This window comes from Homo sapiens, chromosome 3, assembly GCF_000001405.40.
Source record: "Homo sapiens chromosome 3, GRCh38.p14 Primary Assembly".
NCBI classification, from domain to species: Eukaryota; Metazoa; Chordata; class Mammalia; order Primates; family Hominidae; genus Homo; species Homo sapiens.
Window position 1 is genome coordinate 38,686,080 of NC_000003.12, and position 17,002 is coordinate 38,703,081.

Consider the following 17,002-nt stretch of genomic DNA (forward strand, 5'->3'; position numbering starts at 1 on the left):
GTGCCTTCAAACCCAAGCCTATGTTTTTTCAGCAGTATCTTTATACAGTGGCAGGCTAAAGCCAGGATGAAGGCTACTCATCTGAGAACTGGCGGGAAGGAGGACAAGAGGTCTGTTGTTAAAAGACAGTAACATACAGGTCTAAGTAAGTCTAGATGGAAGGGGCGTAACCCACTAGATCTGACAAGTTGGTAAAATATGACAGAAAAAATCTCTTATATTTTGAGACTGGGGTTTTGAGGGAGTTGCATTGCCAGAGAAACTTCACTCCAGATAAGAAATGGCCTGTGATTGCTCAAACCTGAAGGGAATTTCTAGGGCCCAGTGGTGCCAACAGAAAGTGCAATAAGCTGCCTATTCTCAAGAGGGAATCTCTTCCCAGTGCTCTTGTCTCATGAGGAAGTAGGACAGTGGATGAGGAATTCTTCCAGCGATCAAGACCAAGAAAACTCTCCACTGTCAGGTCAAGGAGTACATGCTTCAGGGTATATTGTGGATTGGCACTTCGGGATGTGGTTTCTCCTTTTCTAAATAGGGTTTTTTAAATGGAAGCTAACATGTTTATCCTATACTATCAATTGCATGGTTAGCATTTGGGTACTGGGCCATGAAGAGCTACCTCTAAACTGATCAGGAAGAAAGCATTTCACTCATTTGACAAATATCTTTGAATTTACTTTGATACTGTTCTGGTGGCTAGGAATATATCAATGAGTAAAGAAGAGTCCTTGCCCTCACAGAGCTTACATTCTAGTAGAGAAGACAGGCCATAGCCAAGTTCATGTATGAGATCCCAGAGGGTGTTAAGTGCTGTGGTTGTGGCTCACGATTAGATAGGCCGGTCGGAGAAGAACTGAAGAAAGCACAGGGCTGAGTGCTATGGTTATAATGGCTGAGGGAAAGCAAGTTCCATGGGCTTGACATTGAGGCAAGAACATGCCTTGTGTGTTTAAGGAACAGCAAGGAGCACAGCGTGGCTGAAGCACAGGGAGTGAGTGGAGGGGAGATGAGGTCAGGGAGGAGTGAGGGCCCGATGATGTGAAACAGTTGTAATGACATCTACTCAGAGCACCCTGGGGCCATGGGTGGATTTTGAGCTCTGGCTGTGGTTTGAGAATTGATTGTTGAGGGTAAGAGTAGAAATTGAAATAAAACTTGTGAAAAATGATGGCTACTTGGATAAAGTTGAAAGTTAAGGTGGTAAGAAATGGTCAAATCCTGGATGCATTTTGAAAGCAGAGTTGACAGGAGTTGCTGATATCTATTATTGAAACATGCTTGACTTGAAGCTGAATGCAATAATTGGACAAGGCTCTGGAGTGTATGGTTTTATGTGAGAAAGTTACATCATGTTAGGAAGTTATTCTTGTTATTGCATGTCTGGAAAGAAGGAAGTTTGCTAACACTGGGCAGCCATGAGGTAGAATGCGGTGAGCAGCTATTATTCATCATCTATTCCTTCTTGTTATGGCCACAGGGCTCCTCTATATGGGAACTACTCTCCACCCAGTTTCTGATTCTGATTGAGCACATGATCCAGGAATGGCCAGTGGGCTGCACGTTCTGGACACAATGTTTGCTTAGGAAAAGGGATGTAATACAATCAGGGCCAATGACATGCCTTCCTGGATATTTGCTGGAATCATTAGGTAGGAGTTAAGCTTCCCCTCTGAGATCACAGATATGAGCAATTTGCAGGTGATCTTGGCTACCCCATGGAAAGAGTCTGCCTGATAATGGAGCCAACATATAAGAGACCAGAGTCAAGAGGGAGAGATGATATCCCGATGGCATTGTGTGAGCTCCTGAATCCAGCTAAGCCCAGATCCAGCTGCATCTCAGGGTTTCCGGTTTAGTAGATGAAAATGTCTTCTTTTCTTTCTCCTTTTTCCCGGGAACTAATCTAGGTGGGATTTCTATCACTTGCAACATGGGATAATATCTGGTCAGTATATGCAGGTATAATGAGATATTTCTATACTGACTCGGAAATAGCGGCTGCCTCAAGTCTTCCAAAGGGCTCCCTACGGTGCCAGCTATCCTGGTCCCTTCTTTGGGACCTCTCTCTGGACCTCCCCACAATACAACAATGAAAGGGTTAATACCTGATGCAGCAGGGGGCCTGCTTCAGCAATATGGTCAGTTCCTGCTAATTGGTTGGCGCCAGGCAGATTGTGAAAAGTTTTAATATCACTCAAAGTACCATCCAAAATAATTCAGAGGGATATAAAACTCTGTGCCCATTGTGAGCATATTCTACTCACTCGCACACTCCCTGATATGCTTGTATTACAATAGCTTGGTTACCTTTCCTCAAACTCTTCATCCACATGCACATCTTCTGTGTCCTTTGCAGTTTTTATTACTTTTTCCTAGAATTTTATTTTTTATTACCCGTTATTGAACTCCTACGCCACCTTTTACAACTCAGCTCTGATAATCCAAGTCCAAGACATAAAATGTCACCACTGAGAGTAGCAAATAGTAACTACTTCTGTGAAGAGGGAGGAGAATCAAAGCTGAACCATTTAAAATTTCTTTTTTTTTTTCCTTAAAATCATGAGATAGAGTATCAAAGCTGAACCATTTAAAATCTCTTTTTTTTCTTAAAATCATGAGCACACACAGAAAATGCATGAGACAAATATGTTTAGCTAATGCATAGACATAAAGACAATACTCGTTAAGAGAACCACGTAGGTGAGTAATTTTTTTTTTTTTTTTTTTGAGACAGAGTCTCTCTCTGTCACCAGGCGGGAGTGCAGCGGCGCTATCTTGGCTCACTGCAACCTCTGCCTTCCAGGTTTAAGCGATTCTCCTGCCTCAGCCTTCTGAGTAGCTGGGACTACAAGCACGTGCCACCATGCCCAGCTAATTTTTGTATCTTTTAGTAAAGACAGGGTTTCACCCTGTTGGCCAGGATGGTCTCAATTTTCTGACCTCGTGATCCACCCGCCTTGGCTTCCCAAAGTGCTGGGATTACAGGTGTGAGCCACCGCACCCGTCCTACATGAATAATTAGAACATTGCCAATCTCAGTCACAAGCGCTATCTTCCGTCTACCAGTAACCTTGACTTTTGTGGTCACCAGCCCTTGCTTTTCTTTATACGTTCCTAAACAAAATAGTTTAATCTTGCCTGTTTTTGAAACTCATATAATCATAGAGTAGATATAGTTTATGCCTGGCTTCTTTCATTTAATAAGGTTCATTTTTAGACTTGTTTGAAGCTGTATCTCATCCATTTTCATTACTGCATAAAATTACATTAAAAAATACCACAATTTATTAAATTATCCTACTGTTGAAGGACATTGGGTTGTTTCTAATTTGGGTCCATCATGAACAATATTGATAAGAAATCGTCTTGTAAATGTCTCCTGGAATATGCGTGCATGGATTTCTCCAGGTTTCATACCCAAGAATGGAAAACCTGAGTCATGGGTTTATGTATCTTCAACTCTTCTAGGTAAATTTAAGCGGTTTTCCTAAACACAGTCATGCTCTGCATGATAACATTTCTGTCGATAACAGACCACATAGAAGATGGTGTGCCATAAGATTATAAGGAGCTAAAAAATTCCTGTTGCCTAGTGATGTCATAGCCAACAAAAAGTGGTAGCACAAGTCATTACTCCCATGTCTGTGGTGATGCTGGTGTAAAGAAACTTATGGGGCTGCCAGTCATATAAAAGTAGAACACGTACAATTATGTATAGTACATAATACTTGATGATGAAAATAAGTGAGTGGTACTGGTTTATATATTTACAATATCATATTTTTATTATTAAAGTATACTCCTTCTACTTTTTTTTTAAGTTAATTGTAAAGCAGCCTCAAGCAGGTCTTCCAGGAGGTATTCCAGAAGAGGGCATTGTTATCATAGGAGATTACAGCTCCATGAGTGCTACTGCCCCTAAGACCTTCCAGTGGGACGAGATGTGGAGAAAGAAGACGGTGATATTGATAATCCTGACTCTGTGTAGGCCTAGGATAATATGTATGTTTGTATTTTAGTTTTTAACAAAAAAGTTAAAAATATTAATAGGAAAAAGCTTGTAGAATAAGGATATAAAGAAAATACTTATGTATAGCCTGTACAATGTTCTTGTGTTTTAAGCTAAGTATTATTATGGAGTAAAAAAGTTAAAAGAAATTAAAAAGTTTATAAAGTAAAAAAGTTACAGGAAACTAAGGCTATCACTGAAGAAATGAAAATACTTTTAAAAAATTTAGTGTAGCCTAACTGTACAGTGTTTATAAAGTCTACAGGAAGCGTACAGTAATGTCCTAGGCCTTCACATTCACTCACCACTCATTCACTGATTCACCAGAGCAACTTCCAGTCTCACAAGCTTCATTCATGGTAAGTGCCTTACAAAGGCATACCATTTTTATCTTTTATACCATATTTTTACTGTATCTTTTCTTTTCTTTCTTTTTTCTTTTTTTTGAGATGGAGTCACACTGTCTTCCAGGCTGGAGCACAGTGGTGCGATTTTGGCTTACTGTAACCTCCGACTACTGGGTTTAAACAATTCTGCCTCAGCCTCCCAAGTAGCTGGGACTACAGGTGCCAGCCACCACACCCGGCTAATTTTTTGTATTTTTAGTAGAGACGAGGTTTCCCCATATTAGCCAGGATGGTCTCAATCTCCTGACCTCGTGATCCGCCCTCCTTGGCCTCCCAAAGTGCTGGGATTACAGGTGTGAGCCACCCACCCGGCCTACTGTACCTTTTCTATATTTAGATACACAAATGTGTTACAATTGCCTATAGTATTCAGTACAGTAACATGTTGTACAAATTTGTAGCCTAGGAGCAACAGGCTATAGGTGATGCAGCCCAGATGTGTAGTAGGCTATATCATCTAGGTCTGTGTAAATGCACCCTATGATGTTTGCACAGTGACAAAATCGCCCAAAGACACATTTCTCAGAATACATCTCTGTTGTTAAGCTACACATGACTGAAGTTGTACCAATTTACACTCTCTTTAATGGGAATTCCTGTTTTCTCCATCTTTGTTATCACTTGATATTTCTTAGACTCTAACATTTTTGCAGATCGAATAGATGTGTGGTGGTATTTCACTGTGATTTTAGTTTGCATGTCCCTAATTACTAATTAGGTTGTGCATACTTTCATATGCTTATTGGTTATTCAGATTTTCTTTTTTGTGGAGTGCCTCTTCCAGTCTCTTGCCATTTTTTTTCTATTGTGTTATCTATTTTGCATTGATTTGTAGAAGTTAATAAAAATTTCCTCTGAATATTATTTTGTTGAATATAAGTGTTTTAAATACTTTCTTCCATTCTATACTTTGCCTTTTCATTCCTAATATATATTTTAATAAACTGATGTTCTAGATATTAATGTAGTCAAATTTATCACTTTTCTTTATTCTATGGTCAGGTAGATATTTTCCTCTATTATCTTCTAACAGCTTTATAGATTTGTCTTTCACATTTAGGTATACTTGAAACTGATTTTTCAGTACAGTTTTAGGTGGGGGTCTAATTTTTTTTCTTTTTCTTCTGAAAACACAATAATCCTAGCACCACTTTTAGGAAGACTATCTTTTCCTCACTCTGTGTTATCCCGTCTTTACCATATATGAAGGGTCCATATATAAGCTTGGGTCTGCTTCCTTTTGTAATTGATTCTCAGCTAAATTGTATTATCGTCTGAAAACATACATATACTTTTAATCCCTTGAACATTGTTTGAATTTTATTCTATGGCCAGGCATACGGACTATTTTTGTAAATGTGCCCTATGTACTTGTATTTGTACCCTTTTGGTAACCTTAGGTTTTGTGTGGCTTTCTGTAAACAGAATTTATTTGAATTTTTAAAAATCTTGACTGACACTCTTTTTCCCAGAGTCCATTTAAATTTAATGTAATTTATGAATATTTTTGTTTTTGAATATACTACTTTACTCTGTCTTTTCTATTTGTTTCTTTTATTCTGTATGTCTCTATATCCCGGGTTTTTTTAATTATTATTATACTTTAAGTTTTAGGATACATGAGCACAACGTGCAGGTTTGTTACATATGTATACATGTGCCATGTTGGTGTGCTGCACCCATTAACTTGTCATTTACATTAGGTATATCTCCTAATGCTATCCCTCCCCCCTCCCTCCACCCCACAACTGTCCCCGGTGTGTGATGTTCCCCTTCCTGTGTCCATGTGTTCTTATTGTTCAATTCCCACCTATGAGTGAGAACATGCGGTGTTTGGTTTTTTTTGTCCTTGCGATAGTTTGCTGAGAATGATGGTTTCCAGCTTCATCCATGTCCCTGCAAAGGACATGAACTCATCATTTTTTATGGCTGCATAGTATTCCATGGTGTATATGTGCCACATTTTCTTAATCCAGTCTATCACTGTTGGACATTTGGGTTGGTTCCAAGTCTTTGCTATTGTGAATAGTGCCACAATAAACATACGTGTGCATGTGTCTTTATAGCAGTATGATTTATAATCCTTTGGGTATATACCCAGTAATGGGATGGCTGGGTCAAATGGTATTTCTGGTTCTAGATCCCTGAGGAATTGCCACACCGACTTCCACAATGATTGAACTAGTTTACAGACCCACCAACAGTGTAAAAGTGTTCCTATTTCTCCACATCCTCTCCAGCACCTGTTGTTTCCTGACTTTTTAATGATCGCCATTCTAACTGGTGTGAGATGGTATCTCATTGTGGTTTTGATTTGCATTTCTCTGATGGCCAGTGATGATGAGCATTTTTTCATGTGTTTTTTGGCTGCATAAATGTCTTCTTTTGAGAAGTGTCTGTTCATATCCTTCGCCCACTTTTTGATGGGATTTTTTTCCTTGTAAATTTGTTTGAGTTCATTGTAGATTCTGGATATTAGCCCTTCGTCAGATGAGTAGGTTGCAAAAATTTTCTCCCATCCTGTAGGTTTCTGTTCACTCTGATGGTGGTTTCTTTTGCTGCTCAGAAGCTCTTTAGTTTAATGAGATCCCATTTGTCAATTTTGACTTTTGTTGCCATTGCTTTTGGTGTTTTAGACATGAAGTCCTTGCCCATGCCTATGTCCTGAATGGTATTGCCTAGGTTCTCTTCTAGGGTTTTTATGGTTTTAGGTCTAACATTTAAGTCTTTAATCCATCTTGAATTAATTTTTGTATAAGGTGTAAGGAAGGGATCCAGTTTCAGCTTTCTCCATATGGCTAGCCAGTTTTCCCAGCACCATTTATTAAATAGGGAATCCTTTCCCCATTTCTTGTTTTTGTCAGGTTTGTCAAAGATCAGATAGTTGTAGATATGCGGCATTATTTCTGAGGGCTCTGTTCTGTTCCATTGGTCTATATCTCTGTTTTGGTACCAGTACCATGCTGTTTTGGTTACTGTAGCCTTGTAATATAGTTTGAAGTCAGGTAGCGTGATGCCTCCAGCTTTGTTATACACCAATAACAGACAAACAGAGAGCCAAATCATGAGTGAACTCCCATTCACAATTGCTTCAAAGAGAATAAAATACCTAGGAATGCAACTTACAAGGGATGTGAAGGACCTCTTCAAGGAGAACTACAAACCACTGCTCAGTGAAATAAAAGAGGATACAAACAAATGGAAGAATACTCCATGCTCATGGGTAGGAAGAATCAATATCTTGAAAATGGCCATACTGCCCAAGGTAATTTATAGATTCAATGCCATCCCCATCAAGCTACCAATGACTTTCTTCTCAGAATTGGAAAAAACTACTTTAAAGTTCATACGGAACCAAAAAAGAGCCCACATTGCCAAGTCAATCCTAATCCTGTTTTTTTTTTAACCTTACTTTTTTGATTGGCTAATTGTTTCTTAGCATAGTTCCCCCTTGTCCTACTTTGGAAATGATATACTCTATTTCTGATTTGTTACTGGCAACCCTAATAATTAAGTCATTCATTCTTAAGTTACACAGTCTAATGATAATAAAAACCTTTACTTTTTTTTACTTTTTAGCATTAGGAGAAATACCTAATGTAGATGACGGGTTGATGGGTGCAGCAAACCAACATGGCACATGTATACCTATATAACAAACATGTACATTGTGCACATGTACCCTAGAATTTAAAGTATAATTTTAAAAAAAGAAAAAAAAGGAATTGTCTTTTTAATTTATTTGTAAACCTTCAGCCTGTGTTCAGCTCCAGACTGAAGATCTGTCTTATCTTGCATCCCTAACACTTAGGAAAGTGACTTCACTTTTGTCTTAAGCAAATGCTCCAGCACACCAGGGCTCTGCCGATACCTACTATTCTGTGTTAAGTGGATGTTCTGAATGTTATTTGCCATCTGTGTCTATGTGTTATGCAGTTTAATGGTATAAAAAGTTAGGGCGGTGTTTATGGTGGAGGCATACTTTTGAGAACTTGCAGGTTCCAGATATTTGTACAGTCAGCATCATTATCCTGTCTCTTATCTCCCTTCAGTGCTAAGGTATCCTCACATTCTGGGCCAGAGAGATTCTAGTTTTACCTCTTGTGGGTGGGGTTGAGAAGGTAGCTCTGGTTCTCAGGTTGGCTCCCATGGAAATCTAGTTTCTACCTTGTAATTGTACCACCAGGTGAACTTGGAAACTGGCTCTAGTGAAATTTTCAAAAGATAATCTTGCATTTGGATACATTTCCAAAAACTCCGTGTCATGCAAGATGTGTATATTGCATCCCTTTTCCAATGTTTCCCATTACAATTTAGGAAATGCATTTGTGCAGAAAAAATGAGAAATGGATTAGTTTCCCTGGGATGCTGTAACAAATTACCAGAAACTAGGTAGATGACAATAATAGAAATTTATTCTCTTACACTTCTGAGGCTAGATGTCTAAAATCAAGGTATTGGCAGAGCCATGTTCCCTCTGAAGCCCGCAGGTGAGAACCGTTGCCTTCCATGTCTCCTCCTAGCTTCAGCAATCTTTGCCATTCCTTGGCCTGCACATGTATCTCTCCGATTTCTTCCTGTGTCTCCATACAGCTGTCTTTTCTTTGTGTGTGTTTTTTTCTGCATCTTCCCATGGTATTCTCCTCTCTGTGTGTCTCTGTTCAAATTCCCCTCATATTTTAGCAACACCAGTCATTGGATTAGGGCTCACCTTCATCTGAATTTGTTTACATCTGCAAAAACCTTAATGTCAAATAAGGTCACAATCACAGGTACTATTGGTTAGAACTTCAACATACCCTTTTAGGGAACATTATTCAACCCAAAGCATAATTCAACATAAAGTTGAATTATGTTCCTATGTTTAGGGAGCATAATTCAACTCAAAGTAAAAATACTTTTGAGAATAGTATCATCTGCTTTAATAGAACCAGTCTGATGGTTTGGCACACTTAATTCTTTCACATATCATTGTAAAAATAAACCTGTGCCCAAACTCTCTGTCCACTTAGCTGTCTTATAAACACTTGGGCTAGTATCTCAGATGGCTTTTTCATCATCCACATGGGATTTAGACGTTGAAGAAGCTGCACAGTCAGTATCTGTGCTCCCGGGTTCAGTGGTACGAGAGAGGAAGAGTTATTTGGTTGAACTCATCTTTTAGAATAAATCAGGCATTCAGAGAATAGCTGATTTGAGATGGCTTGGTACCTCTGCTATCCCATCATCATCTTATTAACCTGCATCTGTGGATGCTGCCAACTCCCAGTAAGCATCTTGAGAGCCTCTTTGACTTCTTATGGGCTAATAGTGACAGAAAAGGGAGAGCAAGGCCTCGGCAAATCTGTATTCTTGAGGCATGTGAGATGTATCAGCCACTGTGCTTTGTAATTATACAAATGGAAAATCTTATGAAATGATCAAATATATAGACAATGAATTGGCTATATATTTGAATCTTTGTGATTGTGGCTGGGAATGGGCCAAGAGTTAATGGAAGATCATGACTGTCATTACAATCCCTATGTCCTATGTTGTTATAGGGAGTCTTTGCTTTTCTTCATCTCAAAATCTGCAACATGCCTTTGGCCTAAATAAACTCCTCTGACAATTCTTACTCCATTCAGTTCATACAATTAATCTTTTGGGGGCTTAATTCCTATTTTATCTCTTGTTCTTGGAGCAGTGCCCATCATATAGTACGTAATTAATAACATTTGCAGGATGAATGAAAGAAACTACTGGCCATACCTTTTATCTACTGGATCATCATTCTCATGATTATACTTTTTCTTCTGATTATATTAACTATGGAGTTCTGGACGCCAGGTAATGTAAAAACTCTCCTCCTTAATGTCTGATTATGAGATGTGAACAGACTCTGGAATGTATTCAAAAGCTGCCTCTTTAGCTACACAACAGAAAGGTCCAGCCATTTCAGCCTCAGAAAAGAGTGCTTTTCCCATATAAATGGGGCAGGCACCATGGAGTTCTACAGCACGAGATGCGAAGTCTATAGAAAGCATTCATTTTCTTCCCTTCCCACCAATTTTACAAGTGAGGAAATTGAAGTTAAGAGGGGAAAGACTTTAGCCCTGGTCAGCCAGACAATTGGTGGAAAAGTTAGGATTCCAACTGGCATTTCCAGATCCCAGGACAGTGCTCTTTCCTGCTCCACCCAGCCTCAATCTCAAACTGAAAAATATCAGGATCCCAGAAAGTGAGGGGTAAGTGACTCATGATACAGGTCAGCATCACAGAAATAAGAGAAAAATAAAATGATGCTTTATGATATAACGCTGGTGTGGACATACATTTAAAAATATTAATTTTAATGGATATCTCAAAGGCTTTTCATGACATAGGCCACAGGTGTTACCCTGGGTCAGAGCAGTTGTCCGACAGCTCTCACATGCAGTCATGCAAAATCCTAAATAATATTGCCAATCTCTGTATGGTGCTCCACAGAGGACTACCTTGGACCTTCAGTAATGTTCTTGTTCTATATCTTTGGAAGTTCTGGTCCTGAGAAGTTTGTCTCAGTAAATATAATCTGATTACAACAAAAATAAAAGGACAAGGGATATTTTCTGGAGAGTAAGAGAACCCATGATCTGATATTGAAATTCAGAAGGGAAATCACAGTGGAAGTGCTCTTAGCTTCTGACTCCTATTTGTGTATGATGGTTTTTTCAAAGGTGGTTACCAGTTGCATTCCCTGCCCAGTTCTGACATTGTGACCAGTGGCATGCATTGGTGAGGCTGTAGCTGGGTGTGATCTGCAATGGGAAAGAGTTAACACAGAGCAGAAGGACGCATCATAACTGAACATATCCAGGCTGGAGTGTTCTCACTAGGGCCCAGGGGCAATCAGCTCCATACTGGTGGCTTCATCTTCATTTTGTATTGAGCTAGATGTCCTCATGTTGACTCTATCACTAAGGCCTCTAGTGACACTCTCATAGGACGGTGGGAATGATGTGGCAGAAGCAGTTTCAGATTTGTCTGGGAGTACACAATTTTCATTTGCTGTGAATGCAACAAAACCTTCATCTGGGAGTGATGCAGCCTCCTCCTCAGCTCTGGGCACACATGGGGTGTTAGAGAGTGCCATGGAGCGGTGCAGCACATAGCTCCGATAGGCCTTTTGAATGACAGTGGCTGAAATGTCTTCTTGCTTCCATCGGAGAGTGGTTGCTATTGGTTCATAGGATGATTTTGAAAGATTAGTTGCCATAAACTTCTCCTCCATATTTGCCTTCAGAGAATCCAACTCCCCGGATTCTCCTAGGACATTCTTGGTGAAAGCAAAAAGGATGTCCAAGCAGTGGATCTTATCTCCAGGGACCAAAGGCAGGTCCATCTGGATCAGTATATTTCGATTGGGTTTTGGGATTCTCAGGGGACCAGAGAGAGTGTCTGCAAAGTCCGAGAGAGCAGAAAAGGTAATAAACTGAGTGGCCTCTGGGTCAAACTTCTCCCAGGTCTCATAGAACATGTCAAAGTCGTCCTCACTCAGGGGCTCAGTGCTCTCCTCCGTGGCCACATTGAAGTTCTCCAGAATCACTGCAATGTACATGTTGACCATGATGAGGAAGGAGATGATGATGTAGGTGGTGAAGAAGATGATGCCTACGGCTGGGCTCCCACAGTCCCCTCTGGTGCCATTGCTGTTGGGCAGATTGGGGTCACAGTAGGGGGGCCCTGTGTTGAGGATGGGGCTGAGGAGGCCATCCCAGCCGGCCGACGTGGTAATCTGGAAGAGGCACAGCATGCTGTTGGCGAAGGTCTGGAAGTTGAACATGTCGTCGATGCCAGCCTCCCACCTCACATGGGGAAAGCTGGACATACCGAAGATAGAGTAGATGAACATGACAAGGAATAGCAACAGCCCGATGTTGAAGAGGGCAGGCAGGGACATCATGAGGGCAAAGAGCAGTGTGCGGATCCCCTTGGCCGCTCGGATCAGTCTGAGGATGCGGCCAATTCGGGCCAGGCGGATGACTCTGAAGAGCGTTGGGGAGAAGTAACTTTGAAGTGACTTAAGAATTGCAGAAAAAATCAGGCCTTTAAAAGAAGGAAGAAATTATCTAATTAGTATCTCCAGCCATGAGACGTGACAAAGTTGGCTGTGATGACACTCTGCTTTGCTTGGTATAGACTGCCACTTGGGCATCCACATTTGAGGACTCTGGGCCCTCAGAGCCTGGCATGGTAGGTAGCACAAAGTAGGGGCTCAGTAAATGCCCATTGCATAAGTCCTCTCTTCCTCCTCCGTCTTACCCTTCCTACCATGTTATCTTTGCCTCCGCCTAGAATATCCTCTTGGTCAACCTCCACAGTCAAAAACTTATCTTCTGCAGCCAAGTTCAGCTGGAAGTGACTGCAGTTTATTCCACAGGCTCACAGTCTTTGGCCTGTTTTTTCCTATGACACAGACCCTGCTCCTCCCTGATACTGCAGCCTTTGGGTCATGCCCTTTCCTCCACCCTGGTCCTGTGCTCTGTGAAGGCCAGGACCCCTTATGATTCCTCTCCCTACCTCCTACTGTGAAGATTGACTCTGTTTCTGGCACCCGGTCCTGTGGCTAATTGTACGGAGCCTGGTGTTAATTACAAGGGGGCCTGAGGATTCGGGCAACTGGCTGACAGCTAAAGCATAAGGGATTTGAATGACCAGCTGTCTGCACAATGCCTTAATTTGTTTTTTTTTTTTTTTTTTCGGTTCCAGCTGTTTTTGAACTTTATGTTAGGGCCTGGAGATAGGTTTTTTTGGGGGAGTCAGTTACTGCCCCCAACTCCAACTATGAACAAAGTTGGAAATATAAAGAATGTATATGTCCCTCTATATGATGTCTAACTTGAAGATGTTTGATTTTTGGTCTTGGGGACCTGGGGAGCCTTATTTGTACCAAAGGCCTCCACCAAAGATGAGGCAAGGCCTTTAGGTAAGAGAGGGTTCAACATCTCACAGGAAAAATGGTGAGGGATGTAGCAGCAAGCTCTCGCTCCTTGCCAGGTTCCCTGGGCCCTCTCCCCTACTTGCTCTTTGTTGTTATGCACATGGGTCACAATATTGTGTTGGAAAGAGGAAGAAAGTAGAAGGGGACTTGGGAAATAATTATAATTTTGGATTATAAAATCTTTGTGGAAGACCTTCTGTGAATTTCCAGTTTAACTAGGACATGTTCCCATCGTGTAGGGTACATTATTTGTCTACATACTCTGGTAAAATTTTCTGCCAGACAACTGGTCTACAGCACATTTTAATTTGCTCCAGGATCTTATTTTAAGGGAGAATGGTTCCTCGTACTTGTAACAATTAGATACTCAATCACCTCTTGTTGGTGGGAAAGAAGAAAGGGAGGTAAGGAGAGAGGGTAGAAAGATTGATATGTGGGTTTTTTCTGCTTATTTTCCAGCTCTATAAGGGATTCCTGCCCCAGCGGATGGTGCTACCCTGTAAGCCACAGGAACTGGTAGTTAAGATATCCCCATCATAGAACTAAGTACTTGGCTATGTTTTATTTCTATATTACTGATACACAAACAAGCTCCCTTCTTTAATATAAAATCAAAATAGCCTTTGGAATCTTTCATTTTGGAAGACAAACAAAACAAAACAAAAATGAAAACAACTAACCAACCAACCAACAAAAACTCCTATTATGCTAAGTGAGATAAGCCAGACACAGAAGGACAAAAACGACATGATTGCATTTATATAAGGAATCTAAAATAGTCAAACTCATGGGAGCAGAGAATAGAATGGTGGTTTCCAGGAGCTGGGAGGAGGGGAAATTGGGGAGGTACTTGTCAAAGTGTACAAACTTCCAGTTATGTGACATGAATAAATCCTAGAGCTCTACTTATAGCATAGTCCCTATAGTTAGCAATACCGTGTTGTCTACCTAAAAATTTGCCAAGAGAATAAATCTTAAGTGTTCCTAGCACCCAATAAATAAATAAATAGGCAGGAGGAAATATTTGGAGGTTATGGACATGTTTCTGGCATTGATGGTGGTGATGGTTTCATGGGTGTATACTTATCTCCAAACTCATAAAGTTGTGTACATTAAACATGTATAGCTTTTTACATGTGGATCATACCTCAATAAAGTGTTAAAAAACAGAGCAGCAATATCAAAATAAAACAAGAACAAAAACAAACTGAAATCCCCGGAAATACACGCAACCCAAGGCTGTGTTTCAGCACCAAGGTGGGGAGGTTGATGAAATGCTGTTAAGTTGTATTTAGATACTCTCAGCTCTTGTTACTAAATCAGTGGCAAATTAAATCTACAGCTACACCCCGACATGAAAAGTAAGCAGGTCAGGATATAACCAATCAAGATACATTTATAATGCCAGGTGAAGCTGGTGAGCATGATTTGGCCTTTATAGGGTCAAACTTCAGCTAACCCATAAGCCCAGGGACAGTCTCTTGGCTGTTGGTGACAGGCAGCAAGTTCATTAGAAGATTGGAGCCTGTTCTAAACTCAGCTTCAACCCTTGGAAACTCTGTGACCCTGCATAATATTCTTGATCTCTGAGTCTCAATTTTAAATGTATAAAATAAGGATAATAACACCTGCTTGACAGGGCTGCTGTGAACATTCATGGAGCCCAGCTCAGTGCTCAGAACTTAGGAAGTATTCAGTCAAGGCAGCTCCATTTCCCCATGTTAGCCTCTAACTCTAGTAATTTTCTCTGAACACCACTGGACCCAAAATACTGGGCCTGTCATTCAACAACACCCAGACTGGGCCTTAACAGTATTAATTTCTTGGCATTGATATCTTGACTTTTCTATCACTCATGTTCCCTAATAGAACAGTTGTGTAGAGATTTAATTCCAGACCCTAGACTTGAGAATCTCCTTTGAACAATCTCCTCCCAGTCTTTCCTCACTTTGATGGCAATCCATCTCCTTTTCCAGAACAGATTTTAAGACTCATCTCACATTACACCACCTGCCCCCTGCTTTCAAGACCATAAAAGTAAGGTCTGCTGGAGACTCCATCATCTTACGGTCTGAGGTTCTCAGGAGGAGTGATTATTCCCTGTCAGCCCCTGAGGTTCTAGCCATGGGCTGTGCACACAGTAGGTGCCTGAAAACACTTCGTGTGAGCATGGAGAAGGCCAAGAGAACCTCTTCATTTCACTGAGAGAGCAGCCCAAGGCATTTAAAACTTGCTACTCTTGGAAAGCTGCAAATACAGGGTTCTTCTAACATAAACACGTATTTCAAAAAGTTGGTTGGTTATTTCCTTGGTTTTAGAAGAGCATCCCAAAGACCCCCAAACAGAGGTGGGGCTTCCCCACCACGTGGCTGCCCACTTACTCGCAATGGAGAGAACCACCACAATGAAGTCAAACACATTCCAGCCATTTGTGAAGTAGTACTGCCTCAAAGCGAACATCTTCATGACACATTCGCCTGTGAAGACGGCCACAAAGAACTGGTTGATTTTGCCCAGAATTTTCGTCTTTTCTTCACTTTGGTCATCAGTCTCCACCATCATGGTGATCATGTTGAGGCAGATGAGGACCATGATGGTGATGTCAAAAGCTTGTCTGGTCACGATGTCAAAGACAAAACCCTGGAACTTGTTCTGAGAAAACAAGAGATAGTGGCATCAGGGCCTTTGGGCCAGCACAAACCAGGCATCTGTGTTATCTGTAGATGAGTTTTGTCTCCATCACACTCCACATCTTAACAGAAGCGAAATACTATCCTTACCTCTTCCAAAATTTCACTTTTAGTTGACTCTACCTCATTGCCCCAGTTCAAGTCCTTAATACCTCTCCTGGCCCTTTGATGCCACCAGGCCCTTCTTTTGTCCTGGTCTGTGCCCTTGCCTCTATTCACAATGCCCTCCTATCTCCTCTCTTGGCTGTCTAAATTCCAACAGTCTTGAGTAATCCATCTCTTTTAAGCTCCACTTACTGCATGGAGTGTCCCTTAGTCACGTGACAACACACTACCCTGTCCCTTTGGGGATCCCACTTTTCAGTCAGCCTCGAGTTCTAGCATTTTGTATATGCGTCTTCTCTACTAGACAATGAGCTGTTTGAGGACAAGGGCTATACCTTCCTTAACTTTGTTTCCCTGCAGTGCCCTGCACATTGCAAGAGTTCAAGAGCTGCTTGAAATATTAATTTGAGCTACTTTGCTGAGAGTAAAGTCAAGTGCAAAGGGGAAACTTATTCTTGGAAATGTTCCCTCTGTTCCTGGTGCTGTGCAAATGCCTAAGCAAATGCAGGTATAGGGCGTAGGGTCAAGTCTTGGTTGTTTGCATCTTGGAAGGAGGCAGAGTGGCCTGGATAACCAAGAGATCATTTATATCTGGTTATTTTTATGGTGTCTTTAAAAAGCTCCTACTGTGATCTTCTCTTCTTTTAGTGCTGTGAACATCTTACTGCTCTGTGAGTCCTTGATCCCAACCCCATTCCCCACGCTTTGACCTTCTCCCAAAACTTCTCCTGACCTCTATGGAGCTCACCTGCCTTGATCTGCACATATCTCCCCCTATTCAAAGGCTGCCATTCTCCCCTACCCCATGTACCTCAGGGGTTAGGCCTGG

The 17,002-nt window shown here is 41.0% G+C and overlaps 1 protein-coding gene across 6 annotated transcripts in view; it reads right to left on the minus strand.

Annotated features, from left to right (window-relative positions):
• SCN10A (sodium voltage-gated channel alpha subunit 10) overlaps positions 10,728-17,002 on the minus strand; it is a 119,411-nt gene continuing 113,136 nt past the window's right edge. For 4 of the 6 annotated variants that reach the window (NM_006514.4, XM_011533994.3, XM_011533993.3 and 1 more), the window contains 2 exons: positions 15,760-16,030; positions 10,728-12,483 (listed from right to left, as the gene is read on the minus strand). In NM_006514.4, coding sequence (NP_006505.4) covers positions 11,270-12,483; positions 15,760-16,030 — 1,485 coding nt within the window. In that variant the 3' untranslated portion in view covers positions 10,728-11,269. 6 annotated transcript variants of the gene reach the window in all.